Raw genomic sequence first — 14,700 nt, 5'->3', positions numbered from 1 at the left:
TCCTTCCCCGAAGTTCTGGGGCAGCTCTAGCCATACCCTCTCCCATGAGATCTTTCAACAGCGGTCAGATTTCAGTTTTCCTGAAGTGCATGTTGGGTAGGGACAACAGAGCCAGGTTAAGTGTCTACAAAGTCATCCTCACTCTGCATCTTCCTTGCTTCTCTTCTGTAGACCTGAGGTGGGCATTGGAACAATGGCGGCAGAACCAGAGGTCACATGTCTTTGCATGTCTGGTCCATTGCTTTAGACTGCGAGACTACTTGACATCGCCGTATTGCTCCCAGCCTGTGGCCTCGGCCTTCCTCTGACACAACAAGAAGTGTTGCATTTAGTATCCTGTTACAAGAAGTTGTTTTTGCTTGTTTGGGGCTTTTGATAATAAGATGTCCAATGATGCAGAAATATAATAAATAATATACATGTATATGATGGGGGTTGTGGCAAAGAGAGACTTCTGAAGTGTCCTGAAGGATGTGAACAAATTTGCACAAGTAGTTCAGAGGCCTTCTAAGAAAGAAAGGATCAAGGCCGGGCGCAGTGGCTCACGCCTGTAATCCCAGCACTTTGGGAGGCCGAGGCGGGTGGATCGCAAGGTCAGGAGATCAAGACCGGCCTGGCCAACATGGTGAAACCCCGTCTCTACTAAAAAATACAAAAATTAGCCGGGCGTGGTGGTGGGCGCCTGTAGTCCCAGCTACTCGTGAGGCTGAGGCAGGAGAATCGCTTGAACCCAGGAGGCGGAGGTTGCAGTGAGCTGAGATCATGCCACTGCACTCCAGCCTGGGTGACAGAGTGAGACTCAAAAAAAAAAAAAAAAAGAAAGAAAGAAAGGATCAAAACTCCAATACTTTATATCAAGATTCACCACTGAAATCTGTGAACTGCATTGGTACCGACCAAACTTAAGGGGCAAAGAAGGCCGAAAGGCCCCTTGATTTAAAAACAAAAAAAGAGAAAGAAAGAGAAAAAGAGAAAGAGAGAAAGAAAGAAAGAAAGAGAAAGAGAGAGAGAGGCAGAGAGGGAGGGAGGAAGGAAGGAAGGAAGGGAGGGAGGGAGGGAGGGAGGGAGGGAAAGAGAAAGAAAGAAAAGAAAGAAGAAAGACAAAAGAAAAGAGAAAGAAAGAGAGAGAGAAAGAAAAGAAAAAGAAAAAGAAAATAACCAAGAGAAAGGAAAAGAGCCTGTGAGCTAAGCCCAGCATCAAGTCAGGCAGTCAGTGAGGGTACTGATGTTAGGTCTTATCTGAAGATGACTCCAGCATTTCTAGGGGCAGAGTTCCAAAGATCCTTGTCCTTGGAGAATTTGAAAACTCACAGTTTTATTTTCCTCGTATCGATAAGCCTCAATGTGAAATGGAGTATTTGATTTACTGAAACATGATTGTTTAATAGCTCACACAATTCAGCCCTTAGATGAGAAAGTATATGTTAATATCCATGATTTCCAATAAATATAGCCATTAGATTCAGGACAACCTGGGACAACTGAAAGCCATAATCCGTAATCTAGGAATTGACATTAGAGGAGAAGAACTTTCCAGGTAATGCCAGTCATTAAACCTGATGAAGTAGCAGAAGATACTGACCTCCTAATATATATGCTATGAAAAGTGACACAAGGCCGGGCACAGTGACTCATGCCTGTAATCCCAGCACTTTGGGAGGCTGAGGCAGGCAGATCACCTGAGGTCAGGAGTTCAAGACCAGCCTGGCCAACACGGTGAAACCCCGTCTCTATAAAAATACAAAAAAAAAAAAAAAAAGCTGGGCATGGTGATGTGTGCCTGTAATCCCAGCTACTCAGGAGGCTGAAGCAGGAGAATCTCTTGAACCCGGGAGGCGAAGGATGCAGTGAGCCAAGATTACATCATTGCACTCCAGCCTGGGCAAGAGAATGAGACTCAGTCTCAAAAAAAAAGAAAGAAAGAGAGAGAGAAAGGAAGGAAGGAAGGAAGGAGAGAAAGAAAGAAAGAAGGGAAAGAAAGAAAAGGAAAGAAAGAAAGAAAGAAGGGAAAGAAAGAAAAGGAAAGAAAGAAAGAAAGAAAGAAAGAAAGAAAGAAAGAAAGAAAGAAAGAAAGAAAGAAAGAGAGAAAGAAAGAAAAATAAAAGTGACACAATAAAGATGCCATCATTGGTTGCTTCCATCCTACCTCCTGCCAAGAAGATTGACAATTCACCTGCTGTTCTGGGGATTTGGCTCCCTGCTGATCTCTTTCTTTCCCATAAGTGCTGTGAAGATGCTGGCTAGAACTAGCAGTATTCTGAGTAGCATTTTTAATGGGAACATTTGATCTTGCAGAAGAATGTTTGTTCTAAATTAGGACATCCGTAGACACCACAGACATGTAAGGAAGAGTTTTGCATCCAAAGTAGTAGAAATATCATTAATGGGATTTTGACAGGGTGAGGATTTTCAATGGCCAGAAGTCACTGTTAAAGAATCAGGGAAGTCCTACAACAAATAGGCCTTTTTAATAATGTCTGTCCCCACATACTCTGAATTTATTGGGCCACAATATTGAAATATTGTGGAAATGTTCACAAGCATGCCAATTTAGAAGACATGCTTAGCATATTACCTTTCCAGAATAGCTAACTGCCACCTGGCTGAAAAATGGATCATAACCTCTGCTCCACAGAATTGTGAGAATGAGATGGCTGATGTGAAAATGCTTGGCACTGTACCTAATACATAAAAGCTGCCCAATGAGTACAGTATTTGATGAACCCAAATAGGAATCCAAATCTATACGAGGAAACAGGACACTGAAAAGGTATATTTCAAAATATACCAGGTGCACCCAAGGAAGACAGGTCCCAGGCAACCAGGCACAACCGTACACCCAAAAGCAAGGCAGAGGAAACCAGTGAGGAAAATAAAAGGAAAATCTCAGCCTTTCCACAGTGGAACTTAGGTTGGCACTCATTCTACCCTCTGGTCCCTCCTTCTGATTTAATCCTCTCTTTTATGGCCCACTCCAAAGGGCAAAAGCATGCATGAGGCACAGATAATAGCTAACAATAGAAAGACAGCAACAGAACATCGAAGGAAAAGAAAAAATCTGTAGATCATTTTAAACCACACTGCAGCATCCAGGCTGTACACAGCTTTACAGCAAAGCACGGCCCCCATCTAGTGGGGAACCAGAGGTGTCTAACATTGGTATTTGCAAATGTGAAACCCTCCTCCACCCTCCATATTAAATTTGGCAGCTGTTCCAAAGCTATACACCAATTAAATCATGCTTGACAATCATATTTGTTTCTGGCTACTTAATTCATTCGTTTAGTCCAGTAATAGATATTAACAACATTATATTCCCTACAGCAATGCAAACAATTACAGACATTTGTAATGTTCCAGCTTCTGCTGTGTCACAAATGCTAATACATCAGTGAAATTAAATGAAAAAAACCCTGTCCCTCAGGCAGTAACTCAAATACAATAAGGATGATTTTATCCTCTTTCCTAGTAATAGTGAAAAAAATAAAGAAGCTGACAATTTTGAAAAAAAGTTTTCACCCTTGGGCAACATATTTTTTAATCCAGCTGATTAAAACAAATGCTGCATCTTAAACTGCAATTAGGACAATATATACCAAGTGATTTTTATAAGACATAATAGCACTAAGACTGCAAAGTTACTCTTTACATGGTAGTTTATTATAGAAAATACTTCAAGATAAGTGAAAAACAGCAACCGACCACCCAGTCGCAGTCAACAAATAAAATTAAGTATCTGAGACTTTAGTCTACAGTTTCCCATCACTACTCAAAGTAAATGGAAAAATAAAAGAGACTTTGGCAAATATGTGACTGCATACCACCAATACAAGAGCTTTCTAGCCAATTAGCAGTATGCTTCTTTCTGAAATGAAATTGAATGTAATGTTTCTGCATTTTTATTATGCAGCAGCAACTATATAAACTGTTACAAATCAACTTCTAATTAAAAGCTTTAGGCCGTCAATAACAAAATGATAATCATTTTTAATAATGTGGTGCTTATAATTCAGTGGAAAAGTAGTAGGAAGAAAGTAAAGTCAGAGAGCGTAATAAAAAGAAAGCTTTAAACAAACTGCAACAACAGAGTTTAGAGAGTAAGAAGTTTGGATATAGCCATAATAGAGAATAAATTCATAATCTTTTATGATGTTCTGTGCCTTTAAGATAGCAAGACAACAGAACGTCCTCAGAAATGAGAATGGAAAGAGGGATGAGGAGACTTTGAGCCTAAAGACATTAATGCAAGTAGGAGGGGTGGTCAATAATAGGAGAAGAGACAAGTTTTGTAGTTAATTGAGTTCTGCTCACAGTGGAAGCAAGTTGAAAAAGAGATCACCAAAGTTTAGTGACAATTAACACAGATGAAGTAGTGTTATTGCTGCTGAGAATAACATCAAATGGGAGAAGTGCATAAACTTCAAGTAGCAGAAATTCTCCAGAAAAAAAAGACAGACACAGTTGTAAAGACATGATATTCAGGCTAGAAGTGGTTGCTCACATCTGTAATTCCAGCAATTTGGGAGGCCAAGATGGATGGATCACTTGAGGCCAGGAGTTTGAGACCAGCCTGGCCAACATGGCAAAACCCTGTCTCTACTAAAAATACAAAAATTAGCTAGGCATGGTGGTACACGCCTGTAATCCCCGCGACTCAGGAGGCTGAGGCATGAGAATCGCTTGAACCAGGGAGGCAGAGGTTGCAGTGAGCCGAGATCACACCACCGCACTCCAGCCTGGGCAACAGCGTGAGATCCCGTCTCAAAAGAAAAAAAAGAGACATGATATTGGTAATTGGTTCAAAAAGTGACTTCAAGAGAGTATAAGTGAATAAGATTCAAAATTGATGATACATAATCGATAAGGCATATTATTGGGTATAAATTTGTCCCATGACATTCTGGTCCAAGAACTTAACTTTCCAAATCAACTTAAATCTGGTTTGGATCTCCCACCTACCTGCTGATGGGATGGTCAATATCATCATTATGGATGCACCTGCCATCCCTCTGAGAAATCTACAAGAATCCTGGGACTAACACAATAATAGCAAAATTGGGCAGGCCTGGCCCTTAGTCCACATCTGTCATCATTGTTACTGATCCTCTTGCTGTTGCCCGCATTGCCATCAAGCACAGAACTTCCATCCATAGGACACTTTATGAGTTTCCTATTGCAGCTGTAACAATGTGCCACATACTTAGTGGACAAAAACAACACAGATTTATTACATTAGAGTTCCAAAGGTCAGAAGTCCACAGTGGGCCTCACTGGTCTAAAGTCAAGGTGTCAGGAAGGCCCATTTTCCTTTCTAGAGACCATGGGAGAGAATTCATTTTCTTACCTTTTCCAGCTTCGTGAAGCTGGCTGCATTCCCCAGTTAGTGGCCCCTTCCTCCATCTTCAAAGCCAGCAAGGGCAGCTCCAGTCTTTCTCAGGATGATGCCATCTCCCAGAGATTCTAATTCTTCCGTCTCCCTCCTTCCCATTTAAAAACCCTTGTGATTACACTGGGTCCACATGGATAATCCAGAATAATCTCCTTATTTTGAAGCCATCTGATTAACAAACTTAATTCCATCTGCCACCTTAATTCCCCCTTGCCAGGTAACCCAACATATTCGCAGGTTCTAGGAATTAGGACATGGACATCTTTGGGGGATGATGATTTGTCTGCTACAAGCTCTATGATAGAAACCTCACATGGCAATCCTCTTCTAGTGCTTTCCAATCTCTTTTTTTACATCAGGGAATACAGTAAAAATGAAAAAAAAATTTACAGCACACTGAGGCAACTGGATAACCCTGTTAGGCCATGGCACAATATTTTGGGAGCCCTATACCCTACACTGACCACAGGATTGGTCACAGGCATTACTACTGCTCTTAAGGCTGAGGCACTTAAGGAACAAATCACAGGCATGCATGTGCCATTTCTGTGGAATCCTCCAGGGCAGCTGAGTGGGAGGATAGCCCTGCCATTCATTAATCAGACACCCTGCGTTCTTCCAACCTCAGGGGTTTTTTCTCTCCTCCTGGGCAGCAGTTTCTATCTTGTGATCTAAACATTAGCTTCCCTTGTGCTTCTATCTTTCTCCTTCCTTCTCTGGGGGAACTCAGTGTAACTCCTTGTTGCCCTTGACACTTGATAAAATGTCCATGTGAGTGGCAAGTGCTAGAATTCAATTCAAATTGGCTTAAGTGAAAAGGAGACTTTTTTGTCTCATATAACTGAAGTGTTCAAGGAAAGATGGTTTCAGGCACAGCTGGACCTAGGGCTAAATGGCTCTGAAATCCTCTATGAAGCTCTTTTCAGGTCCCATAAAGTAGCCATTGGTGATATCAGGTTCACATCAGTCTTTTCTGTTAGCAGTCCCAGCTGAAACATACTTTATAGATTGTCAAACATGAATTCATAGAGATTTCTTTTGACCTCCTATATGACCAATTTGAAAATATTCTAGAAGTGGAGGAAAAGACAGAATTGTTTTGTTTGTAACTAACAAATAGGGGAAATTTTCAGTATACCATTTATTATGGCTTGAAAATGAAATTTCAATTGCATGTCACTGTGCCAATACAAGCAGCTCAGAGGAATTGAGACAGGGAGGAGTTGCTCTTTTAAAGGTCCTCAGCTGGGCATGATGGCTCATGCCTGTAATCCCAGCACTCTGGGAGGTGGAGATGCAAGGGTTACTTGAGGCCAGGAATTCAAGACCAGCCTGGGCAACATAGTGAGACTCTGTCTCTACAAAAAAAAAAAAAAAAAGAACATAAAAATTAAAAAATTAGCCAAGTGTGGTGGCATATGCCTTGCAGTCCAGGCTGAGGCTGGAGGATGGCTTGAACCCAGGAGTTCAAGATTGCAGTGAGCTATGATCGTGATCATGCCACTGCCTGGCTGACCCTGTCTCTTAAAAAAAAAAAAAAGATAAATAAAAGTCCTTAAAAAATAAACTCACACAGAAGATGTCTACATAAAAAGAGTTCACACTTGATTTTAACTTTCTAACAAGGTAAAAGTCTTCTTTCTTTTAAGTTCCCCTCTGATCTCATAACTGAGGGGATGTGACCTAGTTTTCTAAGTATCTCAAGATCCACCAGTATTGATATATAAACTGATTTTGTTTCCTTCCAATAATAATTCCTTATAAGATAGTATCTCTGACAGTTTGGACAATGGCATTTGAACAGAAAATTATTTTCTCACACTAAAATATCTGGAAGAAAAATAATGATAGAAAAGTTATAGAAAAAGAGATGTTATCATTTGGGATTAAAAAAACATATTGTGAGGTGGGCACGGTGGCTCACGCCTGTAATCCCAGCACTTTGGGAGGCCAAGGCGGGTGGATCACCTGAGGCCAGGAGTTCGAGACCAGCCTGGCCAACATGGTGAAACCCTGTCTCTACTAAAAACACAAAAATTACCCAGGTGTGGTGGTGCACACCTGTAATCCCAGCTACTCAGGAGGCTGAGGCGGGAGAATCACTTGAACCCAGGAGGTGGAGGTTGCAGTGAGCCAAGATCACATCATTGCATTCCAGCCTGGGCTATAGTGCGAGACTCCATCTCAAAAAAAAAAAAAAAAAAAAATTTAAAAAAAAATTTAAAAAAAATTTGTGGATGACTAAACCTGTATCCCAATATCTTTATTAACAGATATCATTTATTTGGTATAAGGAAGATGTCCCAATGCAGATGAGTCTAGTTTATCATATAAGTAAAGGATTTTGTAACTTTTCAGAAAATCAAATTATGAGATATACACATATGACGTCGAATTTACTTATTCACTAAATAGTTATGGAAAATTTACCCTATACCAGTCACAGATATAGGCACTTGAGACACAGCAGTGGAAGATCCCTACCTCCAAGTAGCTTATATTCTATCAGGAGGAAACAGATAATAACATAATAAGTAATGAAATAAGGTGATAAGTGCTGTGTGAAAATAAAAACAGAGTAAGATAAAGGGATGGAGAGTGTGAGGGAGGAGGGACACAGTGTGGTATTAAATAGGGTGGCCAGAAAGGCCCCATTGAAGAGGTGACAGGTGAGCCAAGACTGGAAGAAGCTGAAGGGATTGGCTGTATAATCAAGAATGCTCCAAACAGAGGAACCAGCTAGTGCAAAGGCCCTAAAGAGAAAGCAAGCCTGGCGTGTTCCTGGAAGAGTGAGGATTCCTGTCTGGCTAGTACAGAATGAAGAAGGGTGTGATGGTTAATATTGAGTGTCAACTTGACTGGATTAAAGGATGCAAAGTATTGTTCCTGGATGTTCTGTGAGGGTGTTGCCAAAGGAGATTAACATTTGAGTCAGTGGACTGGGAGAGGCAGACCCATCCTCAATCTGGGTGGGCACCATCTAATCAGCTGCCAGTGCAGCTAGAATAAAGCAGGCAGGAGAAGACAGAAGAGTAGACTTGCTGAGTCTTCTGGCCTTCATCTTTCTCCTGTGCTGGATGCTTCCTGCCCTGGAACATAAGACTCCAAGTTCTTGAGCTTTAAGAGTCTTGGACTTATACCAGTGGTTTGCCAGGGGTTCTCGAGCCTTTGGCCACAGATTGATCCACCACTGGCTTCCTTGCTCCTCACCTTGCAGACAGACTATCATGGGACTTCACCTTGTGATCATGTGAGTCAATTCTCCTTAATAATCCCCTTATTTATAATATATACCCTATTAGTTCTGTTGCTCTAGAGAACCCTGGCTAATACAAAGGGGAAAAGCAGTCAAAGATAAAATCAGTGAGGTAAAGGGAAGGTAAGCTGATTGTGTAGGACTTCATAGACTATTGTAAATGATTTAGCTCTTACTGGGAATGGGGAGGGAGTAAATGGAAGGCTTTAGGCAGAAAGATAACAAGTTCTTATGTACCTTTAAAAAGAATAACTCTCATTGTTGGCTTGATAACAGACTAATAAGGGGTAGAGAATGAAAACTTTCTTTTACCTAATAATCCCTATGAAAGATGATGCTGGTACTAACATTGGAGTTGAAAGGAAGCTGTCAGATACTGAAAATACATTGAAGGCAAAGCCAGTGGGATTGCCTATGGAGTGTGAGTGCTAAGAGCATGAAAGAAATCAAGAATCACTCTGGGGTTTTAACCTAAACAACTGGAAGGATGGCTTTACAATCAGCTGAGCTGGAGCAGGTCAGAGTTGGAATATCCACAATACCACATTAGACATGTTAAGTGGACAGTTGGATATATGAATCTGCAGTTTTTAATATATGAATCTTGGCTAGAGATAAAAATTTGGAAGTGGCAGGCATGTTGATGGTTAAAACTATGGGATGAAAGAGTTCACCAAAGGAACGAGTATAACCAGGAGTAGAAGAGAATGGAAGTGATGAAAGGAGAAGAGGAAGGAAAGGAAAGGAAAGGAAAGGAAAGGGAATGGGGACGGGGAAGGGGAAGAGACTCAAAAAGGAGAAGAGGGAAAAGGAGGAGATAAGAAAGAACTGGAGGGGAGAGAGGACAGAAAGAATCAGAACTGAGAAGATGCAAAGGAGAGGAAGAGGAATCAACAAAAGACACCGAGAAAAAGCAACCAATGGAGGAAAGAAAAACCCAGAGATCAGTGTTCTGGGACATAAGTAAAGAAAGACTATCAAGGAGGAAAGTGTTGAAGTGTATGTAAGATTAAGTCAGAGAAATGACAGATTTATTCGTTATCTGACATTGCTTTCACAATGTGCAGCTCATTGATAACCCTGACAAGGGAAGTTTTGGTGGCATGGTGGGATTGAAAACTCTTAGGAAAAGTTTTGCTACAAAAGAGAGCAAAGAAATGAGACCACAATTGGTTGAATAAGTGGGGTCCAAAGAAAAATTTGTTGACAGAAATAGCAACAGGTTTGTTTGCTGGGGAATTATTGAATGGAAAGAAAAAAAAAGTAACATAGGAGAAGAAGGGAGACGGGAGAGGGAAATAATCTCTGGAGCAGTGCCCTTGAAAGCCCTGAGTGATGTGATCCAGTGTACAGTGGAGGGGACAGCTGTAAGTGGGATTATTAATAGTTTGTTACTGATAGTGGGACTTACAGAAAGGCAGAGAAAGTGAAGCCACTGCTATGGAAGGATGATGGGGAAACTTGGGGAATTCTTTTTAGATTACTTCAATTTCTTCATGAAGAAAGAAGAGCACCAGCTATGAATGAGTGGGCGCAATTATCTTTGCCCTTTTTTCCCATCTAGGTGAAGTTTCTAACTTCCCCAGTACTAGCCTTTTATATTCATAATTTTATATCATTTTCCAGGTGGCAGGCAAACACAGAAGTTAATAAGCACTCCAGGAATAAGAAAAGAAGGACTTTTATGCTCATGCTCACTAAGATGGATGCATATTGTGTCTCTTAAATCACAAGTATTCTGTCTTTAGGACCAATATCTAACTTTAATCTGGAGTTTCCTAGTGTTCGTAACAAACAAAAGCAAGGTAATACTATACACACATACTTTGCACTTTAAGGTCATGATTTTCTCATCAAATCACTCTTTTAGTAAATTTGCTTTAGTGCCCGTAGTAGCTCCATGAGAAACATTCATCCTAACACTTGTTCATGGCAAGCTTTTAAAGTAAAGTTTTTAGGGGTTTGCCCTTACCCTTACTACAAAAGTTAGTTCTTTAATTAGGTTTTTAAAGGTATGTCTAGTCTAGAGTTTCCGAAGAGCATTACACAGAATTATTCTTTTACCTAATTGGTCCAGAGAGATGCTCCTTTAAAAAAGGTTTCTTGAATATATATATATACATATATATATACACACATATATATACATATATATATACATATATACATATATACACACATATATATACATATATACACATATATACATATATACACATATATATACATATACACATATATACATATATATACACACATATATACATACATATGTATATATATGTATATATATATATTTAGAAATGCCTCATACTATATCTGCTTCAGGACATCCAAAGAAAATTAGTATATTAACCACTCTGAGAAATCTTCATGTAATAAGGAAATTTTTGAAACTGGGAGTTTCCCATACTTCACTATAAAATTCCTATTTTCATTTAACATAAATAGAGCACACTTTGGAAAAATGCTGGTTTACAGCTATTCTTATGCAAAAATACAAAATATAGAATTTATCTATAATAAAGTTATTAGAAATATTTAATTTTGATAGTACTATTCCATCATTTAAGGAAATGAATTTGAAATATATTTTACTCTAGCATGTTCTATTGCCCTTACCTATTCTATTCTTGTATAGAAAACACATACATTCCATTGGTGTAGGCCTATTTACTTTCACACAATTAGTATGATGTGTATATTGAGTGTTGCAAAATTGGAGATCATCTGTCTCCTGAAAAATTTTCTGTGACCTACAAAGTACGTCTCTGAGGTAGATACTGCTAACATGTACCATTTTCCAACTCTACTCTACCTCCCAGTCACATAGAAGATTATACTTCCAGATCCCTTCTCTTAGATGGCATCATAAGACCATACCTGGCCAGTGGGGTGAAGTATATGTGTCACTTCCGGGCCAAAGCATTTGACAATGGGAGACTCTTATTTCTTTCTCTGATAGCCAAAAAAGCCTTGCATTAAGCTGGTAGAGCCACAATTTATGAGTCAGCACTGATGTCTCATCAGGTGGGAGACAGCTGCCATGGAAAGAAACCTGGACCCACAGCAGATTTTGTATGAATGAGAAAAAAAAATGTTTATAGTGCTAAGTCACTAAGATTTTGGGGTGGTTATCACAACATCAATTAACTGATGCTGACTAATAGACTCTTTTACCTACACAGAGAAGGGAACAGAGATGAATGGATCATAACCCTCCCTGAGAAGCAAAGAAAAATGTTGTTCTCCATATCTCATGTCCCAGATTTACATGGGCCTATATTACTGATCTATGTGTCAGAGAATAAGAACCAGTATTACCTAAAAGATAAAAATCAATAGAAGAACCAAATGATATTCATTAACAAACACCATTCCTTCCATTTCTAATTATGAAATATGTAATTTAAGACCTATCCTAGAATAACCATTTAGAAAATGCTAAGGTAAAATTTACTTAAAACAAGAAAATATTGTAATACTTTTAAATTATTACCTACATATTAATACACTTAGTTGTAACTAAAAGTAAATTGTGAAATGTCAGTGGAGAATTGTAATGACTTTTCCCTAATATATGGAATGAATCATGTAATGTTTCTTCAGGTAATTATTATATGAAATTATATTTAAATAATATGAAATTAATCCTAAAGTTGAATAGTTGAAAGTGTCTGCAATACTGATTGAAACTGCAGATTTAGTGAGTGATAATTGCATAATGTGTCACAACTCAAAAAGACTCGACCAGAGGCATCCTTGGGACCTCAACAGCATCAGTTGTTTGGGAGAGAGTGAAAACAAGGAGTTTCCAGGGCCAAGGCTAAGGGAAATAATCCAGGTGTAGATTTGACTCCCTAAAGGCCAGTAGTTTCAAATTCAAAGCTAGTATTCAAATTGATGAGGGAAATTTAGGTGACCATGGCAGGATGAGGCAGAGTGGAGAAAGGTGGGCAGCAAAAGATTTGATTGAGTAAAGGAGCCATGATCACAACCAATTCCAGGAAAAAAAAAAAAAAAAAATAGTATTGACCTTGATTAAAGACACTCGGATCTCTAATGTAATGAACACCATTTATCAATGCCTACATAAAGTAATCTTTACCCAAAGATAAAGATAATTTTATTTACAAACCACCCAAAGACATCTTTATACATAGATGTTGAATTGGTAGCTATGCTCACTTACTACCTGAGTGAAGAGTAGACTATTAAGGCATACAATTGCAATTCAATTTTATACTTCAAAAAAATCATAAATTATTACATCATGAAACTTTGGAATCTGTCCCAAATAGTTGGAACCAAAAATGTCATCTACCAAGGCCAAGATTCCACAGTACTTAAGGTGAGGTTTGTTTCTAACTGAAAAAAAAAAACCCAGCCATCATTCATGGGTACAAAAAGAGCCCAATCCTTTTTAAAAACATCTAAATAATCTAATAGTGAAGAAGAAATCATAAAGAAAATAAAGATTTAAAAACCACTGAGGTCTGTTTTTAAGTTTTAATATTCAACTGGTTGTAGGATACACATCCTTCTCTCATTCCCCTATAATATAATGTCTTTTTTTCTTGGTATCCACCTGCTACCATTTGAATGTGTCTCCCAAAGTTCGTATGTTGGAAACTTAATCCCCAATGTTACAATGTTGAGAGGTGTGACCTTTAAGAGGTGACTAGGTCATGAGAGGTCTGTCCTCATGAATGAATTAATGCCATTATCATGGGAGTAGTTCCCTCACAAAAAGCTGAGTTCTCTCTCTCTCTCTCTCTTTCTCCCATATGATACCTTCTGCCATGTTATGACACTGCAAGAAAGCCCTCACCAGATGCCAGCACCTTGATCTTGGACTTCCCAGCATCAGGGCTGTGAGAGACAAATTTATCTTTATTATAGGCTACCCAGTCTGTGATATGCTGTTGTAGTAGCACTAAACAGACTAAAACACCACGCTTTTCCATGTAATGATGAGTTTCAGGGGAGACTAGACCAGACCACCATTCTGGGTCTTAACTGTTGACCTACATCAATTGTGGTCATCATATTCCCCTTACTAGTGATTAGTTTGGGCATGGACTTGTAGCAACAGGTAGCATTTCTGGCCAATAAAGATGGGAGGGAAAGTGTTGTGAGGACATTCTAGAAAAGGTTTCATTTCTCATAACAACCATTTTATTACCAGCCTGAGGATGCGACCAACACACAGAGAGGTCAGAGCCAACACAGCTACTAAGAAGCAAAACCAGATTCCTGGAATACCATTCCTGGAGCTGCCTGACCTCTGTACCTCTTGTTAGAGAAGAAAGTAAGTCTTTTATTGCTCAGCTTATTTTATGTATTAAATTTAGTTTAGGGTTTTCTGTTACCTGCTGCTGCAGGCATCCTCACTGATACACCAGGGTTTGTGGTTGTTGTTTTCCTTAAAAATACACTAATGTGGGAATCAGGCATTCACAAACAAAAATTCAAACATTACAAATTGAAGTAAAATGCAAAGTAAATCTTCCCGACTCCCAGTCACATTCCTTAAAAGCTATCATGTTACCTGTGTCTGTTGTCAGATCTTCCGATTGTCATTAAAATTTAAAATAATGTGCTTAAATCACCAGTCTTTGATTTATAACTTTAGACAGAGTCAATTGATTACCTACTATGAAAGATAATAGAATTAATACACTAATCTTTTCTTACACTTCACCTTCCATTTTCCTTTCTCCTTCCATTTCCTGATATGTTAGGTGCATTTCACATGATTATCCTATAAATATAATTAAATCCTCCCTTCTTTGTTTACACACTGATTGGAAAACATTTATAATATAATAATGCAAACAACTTCATTGTAAATTGAGCAACTAGATCCATGAAACAAAATATTTCTTGTTTCCCAAAAGAAACTTCCAAGTGTCAAATTCTAATATATACTTTCAATTTCCTTCTAGTTTTATTTTCTCCTGAGGGTGTATAACTCAGCTGCCATCATCTCTTGTCCTCAATATTGTTCCTTTTTTTGTACATTGCCATGTAGAATAAAAGCCAGTTTTTTTTC

At 38.9% G+C, this 14,700-nt stretch overlaps 2 annotated features.

The window, feature by feature from the left end:
* Window positions 1,944–2,585: an enhancer, noted in NCBI's record as "OCT4-NANOG hESC enhancer chr7:108233899-108234540 (GRCh37/hg19 assembly coordinates)". NCBI's record gives its function as "activates a minimal SCP1, AML or CMV promoter by ChIP-STARR-seq in naive H9 embryonic stem cells {active_cell/tissue: H9 hESC(naive)}" and the evidence as "EXISTENCE:reporter gene assay evidence [ECO:0000049][PMID:30033119]".
* Window positions 13,789–13,989: a silencer, noted in NCBI's record as "peak6685 fragment used in MPRA reporter construct". NCBI's record gives its function as "represses an SCP1 promoter by STARR-seq MPRAs in K562 erythroleukemia cells {active_cell/tissue: K562}" and the evidence as "EXISTENCE:reporter gene assay evidence [ECO:0000049][PMID:32103011]".

The sequence above is a fragment of the Homo sapiens genome, chromosome 7, assembly GCF_000001405.40.
Source record: "Homo sapiens chromosome 7, GRCh38.p14 Primary Assembly".
Lineage (NCBI taxonomy): Eukaryota > Metazoa > Chordata > Mammalia > Primates > Hominidae > Homo > Homo sapiens.
The sequence above is the reverse complement of the archived record's forward strand: the minus strand, read 5'-3'. Positions and strand labels throughout refer to the sequence as shown.